Source organism: Homo sapiens, chromosome 18 (genome assembly GCF_000001405.40).
Source record: "Homo sapiens chromosome 18, GRCh38.p14 Primary Assembly".
Lineage (NCBI taxonomy): Eukaryota > Metazoa > Chordata > Mammalia > Primates > Hominidae > Homo > Homo sapiens.
This window is the reverse complement of record NC_000018.10, coordinates 78199500-78208749: the sequence shown is the minus strand read 5'-3', so window position 1 is coordinate 78208749 and position 9250 is coordinate 78199500. Positions and strand designations below refer to the sequence as shown.

Below are 9250 nucleotides of genomic sequence, written 5' to 3'. Positions count from 1 at the left end.
CAAAAGAAGAGACAGGGAGTCCTTTCAAAGTGGAGAGATTTATAGGACAGAGTTCACAAAGGTGAGAGTAAATGTTCATTTGTGGGCTACTAGAAACACCAGCAGAAAATCATGACTGTTTAAATATCTGCAAACGGCAGTTGCTATCCACACACATCATAGGTAAAACCATCACACGATATTTTCAGCACATTTCTTCTTTAATATCTTTCAAAACTCATAATTCACAGATTGAAATTTTAGTAAAATGTGGTGAACATTAAAAGATTAGTGAATTAAGTCAGTCATTTGGAGATGTTTTTACTAATAGACGTGCAGCTAACAGAAATACATTTTCAAAATTATTTTTATAGAGAGTGCTGTAAAGATGTTTTGCAAATGCATAAGCAGTGAATCAATCTTAGAAAATAACAATCCACAAAAAGAAAAGGGTGAATGGAAACAGTAATGGAGAGGCTGGCAAACGCCTAGGAGGGCTTTGTTGTTCAATCTGCCGTCATCTGAATTGTCTTTGATTCTAAGCTGCTTTAAATTTTCCAGCTGCAGCGAGCCTGCTTCCAAGGTTGTTATACAATGGGTCAGTAACATGTCTGATAATCAGTTGCTTACTAGTGGTAGATCTGTTTCTAATGAGTTCAAAGGGTTTGGTTCTTGCGGGTAGAGTGTACATGTTTTTCCCGGGTTCCACAGCTGTGCTGTGTTGAAGCGCAGGCGCTCACAGGTGGGGTAACACGAACTTGCTTCAACATCCCCCCTTTACACGCATGTCTCTCCTCCTGCCAGGACCACAGGAAGATGAGGGCCCACGATGAGGGGAATGAGAGCAGCATTGTACGTGTCTGTGTTTAAATGTTTAAACGTTTATCAGTGTTTACCCTATTTCTCAATTTCTTTAGTTTAGCACTTGCAGTGCAAAATATAGCAAAGGAAGAGACAGACAGAAACACAGAGAAAATGAGTCTGTGTGGGTAAGAATTTTAAAAACATGGTACTAAATTAAGAACCTCCCTTTTAATGGCAAACAGTTGAGATTGAGAAGTATGTTTATTTACACAACAAAGACCGGAATGCATGGGTTTGCAGTCATATTCATCTCTCATTTTCGTCAAGGAGGTGCTTCCCATATGGAAGATGCTGTCCAGGGTTGCTTGAACGAACCTCTTCCATCAGCAGCGCCCAGCGAAGTCAAGGGTCCTGTTTTCCTTAAAGGGAAACATTGTCCATGCTGGGAGTGAAAGTTTCATGTCTGAGCAGTGATGGGATGATGTCACAATTTCTTTTCTCATGTGAAATTAGTTAGATCTGAGAAAAACAAAGATAAAGTCAAGGGTCCAAAAGTGTGATTTTACAAAGATCCAATTGGATCAATAAATGGCAAAAGCTTAAAAATGAGAGGTCAGGATTTGTAAAGGGAGTGCCTGAACCTGTTCATTTTTTAGAACGTTTTCTGCAACCAAAGCTGTATTTGTTTAGAATTACCAAAGTTGCACACTGAGCACTCATGCTTGCAGGAGTCTCCTTCTAATGGAAGAACTGGTTGTAAGGAGTAAACATAAGAAGTAAATTTGCTATGCCTGCGTTCTCTTTTATGCCCTAATGTGCTGGGTGTGTGTGTGTGTGTGTGTGTGTGTGTGTGTGTGTGTGTGTTTTAAACAGGATCTCGTCTGGGTTGTGCCTTTCATCTTTTCCTTCAGATTACATGTTACCAATCAGAGATACTGTAGGTCTCTGTAGGAATGGGAAGTTTTGTATGACATAAACAGCAACGGACTCCTATATTCCTCTCAGGCCCTTTGTGGAATATGGGGAGGCTAAGGCTCTCATTCTGGGGCAGGGGTGCTGGGTGCAGGGGAACATGGAGGGCAGGTGGAAGCTTGGTAGGAGAAGGCAGATGACTCTGGCAGAGAATGGATACCCACATCTCCAGGGCTCCCCAAAACAACCACCACCATTTTCTTGCATTGCATTAGGAAAACGAGTACCATGTCACTGTGAGATTTCCCAAGTTTGCTGCTACTGTCCTAGAGGCACCAGCCAGCTCTAGGGCCCAGAAATGTCCCCATCATTATTTAAATCTTATAGTGACATCAGCTAACAGTTCACCCCAAGCGTCAGTGCAGCTGGATGTCATGTGTCCACTAGCTACCTGCAGAGGCATTTCACAAAGCCCACAATGAGATGAACCTTAAGTGACACAATTGCATGTTTTGGACCCATTCGTCTACTATGATAGGATTTTGTATTTCTTGGTCTTTGCTTATTAACTCTGTATGGCATTGCAGTTGTCTCTTTCTGGAAAATAAAGCCCTTATCTTTGAACAACGAAGAGTTGCCATGCCGGTTGTGGTCTGCATTCGATAGTGGTTAGATCCAGCTACCTATCACTTTACAGCAGTGCCTTATCAGAAATGTGAGTTCTCTCTGTAGGATCAGTCTTCGAATATTGTGATTCAAGATTCTTAACTTGTGATTCAAGCACCTTTGACAGTTGGTTTACTCTTGGTTTGGTTTTGACCTAAGAACTTAACCTTGACTTTCCTAAATTATGATGCCTTTGCTATAGCAACCTTCACACAATGCCAGTGTCAAAAGAGCACAATGGCAAGCCTCTTACCTGTCCCAACTGCCCTAGATTTAAACCGGGTTAAGGCCAGACTTTATTATGAGAGAACTTATATGCATATGAGTGTAAGTAGATGGAGAGATTTTAGTGTTAATTATCTGCTTTATGCAAAGTTATTTCAAAATTTTTAATTGTGATAAAATATACATAACATTAAATTAACTATCTATTATGAACTAGATTTTTGTGTTCCCTTAAAATTTATACATTGAAATTAAAAACCCCAATATGTTGTTATCAGGAAGATGCTATTAGGGGCCTTTGGAAGGTAAGTCATAAAGTTGAAGCCTTCATTAATGGAATTCAAGCCTTTATAAATGGGACCCCAGAGAGCCAGTAAGCCCTCCTTCCACCATGCAGGGATACTACACAAAGTCAGCTGTCTGCAGCCCACAATGGTCACCAGAACCTGACCATTGTGGCACTCTGCTTTTAGACGTTCTGCCTCCAGACTGTAAGAAATACATGTCTATTGTTTATAAGCCACTCAATCTATGGGATTCAGCAGCCCACAAAGACTACGACAGAAATAAATCCCAAGAAGTAGAGGTACTGCTATACCAAATACCCAAAAACGTGGAAGCAGCTTTGCAGTGGTAATGGGTAGAGGCTGGAAGCATTTTGAGATGCGTGTTAGAAAAAGCCTGGAAGGCCATGAATGGACTCCTAAAGGTAAGTCTGGTGAAACTGCAGAAAAAAAAAAGAGGAGAACTGTAGAAAACCTTCCATCTTCTTAGAGAACATCTAAATAGACAAGAACAGAATGTTGGTAGAAACATGAACAGTAAAGGCCATTTTGATGAGTCCTCAGATGAAAATGAGGAACACGTTACTAGAACCTGGAGGAAAGGCCATCTTTGTCATCAAGTGGCAGAGAACTTGGCTGAATTGTGTGTTCTAGAGTTTTATGAAAGGCAGAGATTTTGAGTGATGAAATTGTATATTTAGCGGATAAGCTTTGTTCCTCTTGACAGCTTATATAAAATGTAAGAAGACAGAAGTGACTTGCAAATAAAATTATTAAGCAAAAGGAACCAGAACTTAAGGATTTTAATAATTCTCAGACTATCCATATTGCAAAAAATGAAAAGGCATGATTAGAAAAGCACACTAATGGTATGGCTAAATAACTTTGATAAGGACATTAGTATGGGTGTGAACCACAAGTTTATCAGCCAGTTTAACAAGCTAGGCATTATTATTCAAAATAAAGAAGGAAGGTCCTCCCCCCACCAGTGATTTGGAGATGATCAGAGCTGCATTCCCACTACGGGTCCAGAGTGTCAGAGTCTGGCAGGGGAAGAGTGGGTTCCCTGGTTCAGGCAGGCCAGCATGCCCTTCCCCAGTCCCTCAGGCTATTTGTAGCAATATAAGACACCACATTCTCACCTGACTCTAGTATGTCATGCTCTCACATGACAGAGAGCAGACTCTGGACATATCCAAATATTGTACCCCAAAATATATTTTTGACATATTTTTAAATGACTCTGCAACACTTTCTCTTGGGGAAATTTACATTCTGTAGAGAATCTCCTTTCCATTCCAGGTCTTTCTCTGATCCTGAAGAGACTGGCTGAGAGTCTAGCACCTTTTAAGGTTCTGAACAGAAAACATTTGCCATCCATTGCCTCTAAGGGTGGCCACCTGTGAGACTTCATCTACATAATAAGAACCTTGGTCTCCACTGCCCCTTATTTTAACCCAGACACTCCTTCCTATTGATTCCAGGTCTTTGGATAATAATTCTTTCAACCAATTACCAATCAGAAAATCTTTGAATCCACCTATGACCTGGAAGGACTCTCCCTGCCCCCTACTTCCAATTGTCCCACCTTTCTGGACCAAAGCAATATACACCTTACAAGTATTCACTGATGTCTGTCTCGCTTAAAATGTGTAAAATCAAGCTGCAAACCAACCACTTTGGGCACAGGAGTTTTTCGGAAACTCCTGGGGCTGTATCATGGGTCACAGTTCTGTCATTTGGCTCAAAATATATCTCTTCAAATATTTTACAGAGTTTGGCTTTTTTTCATCAACAAACTGCACTGAAGACTTCTATGCCCCATCCTTCCCCTGCTCTGTTATGCAAAAGGATATGGTGTTTGTTACACATTTTCTATGTAATCATTGTGAATAACTTGATTGTAGAAGAAGAAGAGAACCAGATGTAATGTGCAACTAAAGGGGGAAAAATAGCAAAAGGAAATGAGAAGGTGTTTATGAAACCCTTGCTTCATTTACCAAAAAATTATTCTGTATTAATCATTTGCAAGAATGGAATGCTATGTGAAATCAGATATACAAAGCAGAGTATTAAAACATTTTTAAAATGTGTAAATTCCAACTGCTATGAGTTTGCCAAAAATAATCTTGAGTTTTAGCATGTTTCCTATTTATTGTAACATTTAAATTCTTTCCAAATTATCTTTCATTCAGATTTCAGCCCATTTTTCTTTGTTGGCGTTCAAAACAACAATGATGACAAGGAAGAAGAAAATAAGTGGCAGCTCAGGTTCCTCTTTTTCTCCTTAAATACAAAGTTTTTTAATTTTAGGTTTTACTTATTTATTCATTTATTTTTATAATATATATTTAAGGTATATATCATGATGTTTTGATATGTGTAAACATAGAGAAATATTGTTTTTCTGTTTGAATCAGTCCAGAATACAATGAACATAACAAAAGGCACATGGCAGGGCCGTGGCTTGTAGACACCACTTGCCCAGATAAGAGGCCAGGCCCCTGTGGACAGAGTGAGCAGGGGAAGTCTCCGTGTCTCCTGCATGCTCTCAGTAGAGACCGGGCCCTTGTGGACAGAGTGAGCAGACTAGAAATCTCTGTTTCTCCTGCACCGCGCTCAGTCGTTTGCTTCAGGCTCTGAGGTTTGGCATGAGAATGCCTTCCTCGGATGACTCTTTTAAATGGGAAATTCGCATGCAGTGAACTCTTAAAAACCAAAAATAAATCAGTGTCTCTTCCAAAATACATGCACGTGCACATATATTACAGGCTGACACACCCTCACACACATACACTCACGTGCTCCTGTACATGTAACCTTTAGTGTGTGGCAAGTATGTGAAACCTATCTAATTTGAATTACTGGGCTCACAGTTTCTATGCCACATGAACTATACGTGAGTTGAAAGTATGACTTTTGAGTCTGTAGGTTTTCGTTTATTTCTTCAAAGCTGACCTTGCAAGTTCCTCCAATATTCACCAGTATCTTTTTAGGCAAACCTTCCTTTTGCCTCACACCGTTTAATGCGCCCATGTTTCATCTGTAATCTTAAGCATATTTTCTCCTTTTAAGAATCAACATACCTATCTCAGTAATAACTGATTCAGATGATATTATCAAAAATTTTCAATCCTATGATAGCTACAGAGCACATAATTTAAACAATTGATAGTTAATAAATAGGTATGTCCACGTCCATCTGGTCCCACCAGCCGATTTTGTGCTTTTAGTAAAGATCAGAATATGCTCATCAAATGCTCTGAATCAGTATGTCCCAATGTTTTTTGTGAGATGTTGATGACCCAAGTACTCATTTATATACATACATACATAAGATAGATAGTCTATTAAAAAAAGAGTAGCCCGATCAAATACTATGGAGTTTCACAATTCTTATTAGCATATCAAAGAATTGTGGAAAACTCTTAGAAAAAACCAGCTTACATCAAGTGTCCTAGTGTTGCTCTCAAGAATATTAATCACAGAACTCATCAGTGTTCATTGAAGAGTTAAGATGTTTAGACCACATTTGATAGCAGCGAAGATTTCATTATATATTGGGCTTGTTCTGAAGACTACAAAGTTCACAGCTTACCTGTATTCATCCATGTAGTGGGACAGAGAAGGAGGTCGGACAATCAGCAGCTCAGGCACAATCAGTCAGTACAGGCATTACAAGGCTTCATACCCCACACGGCCCACCACACAGCTAGCAGCGAGAGACACGCCCAACACTGTATGAACTTTACGTTGGAATGAATGGATATTCAAATCCTAGATATTCAAATCATCACAAAGGCTGACAGAAAGAAAGAAAGAAAATATTTAAAGGCCCTGAGATGGAGGAGACCTGGGCAAGAAAGTCAAGGTGGAGAGAACTGAGGGAGTGGGGAGGAGGAGGGCGAGTCAGCTGGGAGAGCAGCATGGGGCTCTGTAGGAGCATGGAGGCCCCATCCAGGGATTGAAATGAGAAATGCACTAAAGGATGTCGGTCAGCGTATGCATCCATTCTCATGCTGCTATAAAGAACTGCCCAAGACTGGGCAATTTACGAAGGAAAGAGGTTTCGTTGACTCACAGTTCCACAGGGATGAGGAGGCCTCAGGAAACTTATAATCATGGTGGAAGGGGAAGCAAACATGTCCTTCTTCACATGGCAGCAGGAAGGAGGACAATGGTAGGTGAGCGAAGAGGGAAGTCCTTTATAAAACCATCAGATCTCATGAGAACTCAATCACTATCATGAGAATAGCATGGGGGAAATCTGCCCCCATGATCCAATTACTTCCCACCACACATGGGGATTATGGGAACTACAATTCAAGATGAGATTTGGATGGGGACACAGTGAAACCACATCAGCTGGGGAGGGATGGGATCACATCTCCATCACTAGAAGAATAGCAGCTTCTCTTTGGAGAAGAGAGGAAGCAGAGTCTGCTTCCAAAGCTGTTGCGGTGGCCCTGGCAGGAATGGGCAAAAGCTTGGTTTTCACTGGCGGTGCTGTAGACAGATATGATTGGGCATCTAAAATTAAATAAATTGGAAGTGAAATTGGCAAGATTTGGTGTTGCATGCACAGGGGTGATGAAGGAGGCATGTACACAGTGACCCCAAGATTTGGGATGAGCACCGCTAGATGGCTGAAGCACCGCTGTTGAGAAGGGAACTGGCAAGGAGGGGATATTAGGAAGGAAGGGAAGATGAGGAGTAGAGCTTTGGGCAGGTTCAACTCGCTGTCTCTGAGATACCGGCAAAGACCCAGGGGCCACTGGCCACTGTAAACAGGAGAGGGGTCCGGGATGAAGATTTACATGGTAATTATCTAATATGGTTTGGCTGTGTCCCTATTCAAATCTCAACTTGAATTTTATCTCCCAGAACTCCCGCATGTTGTGAGAGAAACCCAGGGGGAGGTAACTAAATCATGAGGACTGGTCTTTCCCATGCTATTCTTGTGATAGTGAATAAGTCATGAGAGCTGATGGGTTTATTAGAGGTTTCCCCTTTGGCTTCGTCCTCATTCTCTCTTGCTGCCGCCATGTGAGAAGTGCCTTTCACCCTCTGCCAAGAGTATGAGACCTCCCCAGCCATGTGGAACTTTAAGCCAAATTAAACCTCTTTTTCTTACCAGTCTTGGGTATGTCTTTATCAGCAGCATAAAAACTGACTAATACACTATCAGTATACGGACTTCTTCCTTTTAATCCAGCCAGGGAAGATGAGGATCTTGGGGACAGACTACACAGCAGGAAGGATGGAAAGAGCAGGTGTGGTGTACTGAGGCCTGTCCCCGGACATTTGTGGAATTGGCAAACTCTGAAATTGTCAAGACAATTATTGGACTCTCAAGAGCCTTGTGGCTGGTAGTTCAACACAGCCATTATTAAATATTAAATTATATAAGATTATAATTAAGCCACATCAAAACGAAGTGTGCCAAATACTCAAAACTCATCATTTTCTACTTTTCCCTAGACATTTTGTTATTATCTCTGCCCTTCGGGCTGCTTTGGTGTATGGAATTTGTGTGGCAAAAATGATGGTGTGCTAGCACACACCGCTTCCTATTTGCCCTGCGGCTTCACACCAGGTGCTTGAAATCAGCCGTGGCTGGGCATTCACACACAGAAATTGGCAGACACTATAAATCGGGCCTTTCCCTCACCTCCTAGGTGAATTGATTGTTGAATATTCACCTGCACATCACTGCTGGTCCAGTACCAAGCCACAACTAACTTAACACATATGGACACTCAGACAGCCGGGAAGACCAAACGTACAGAACAGTTTCCAAGTAATTCACTTTCTGAGATAAAAGTAGAAGTAATTCCATTTTCCTAAATTCCATAACCATTTTCACTATGCCGCTATCCAGCCTAACTCCACTCATCTGCAGGGTACAATTAGCCATGACCCATCTGACGCATCCCCTACCCTCCTTCCATCCTCTGCAGGTCATCACACTCTCTTTTATTTTATCTGTGGTGGACGAACTCCAAGAGGCTGCATATGTGAAGTGTGCGTAAAACCCCAAAGCTGTGTTTAATCTTTTGCTTATATAAACCATAATATTAACATTGATATAGAAAAAAATCTGTGTGGCATTTAACACAGAATGTTTTCCTCACAAGATTATGGAAAACTTACAAGATCAGTCAGTAATCAACATTCACAACTTTAAGGTAGTCTTAAGTAGGAACAAATATTTGATAAGAAGTTGGAACAAATACTTGTTCTTTTCTCCAGGAAGTAAAGAAACAATTGAAATAATTGTTGATCTTTTGACATTGAAGTGGTATATTGTAGAATCCTTTTGCTCAAGAATAGTGGTTCTCTTGGTGTTTCTGCAAACTCTCAAAACATTGACATTCAAA

General features: G+C 40.9%; 1 annotated feature.

Moving 5' to 3' along the window:
- Positions 233-771: an enhancer, noted in NCBI's record as "NANOG hESC enhancer chr18:75967979-75968517 (GRCh37/hg19 assembly coordinates)". NCBI's record gives its function as "activates a minimal SCP1, AML or CMV promoter by ChIP-STARR-seq in naive H9 embryonic stem cells {active_cell/tissue: H9 hESC(naive)}" and the evidence as "EXISTENCE:reporter gene assay evidence [ECO:0000049][PMID:30033119]".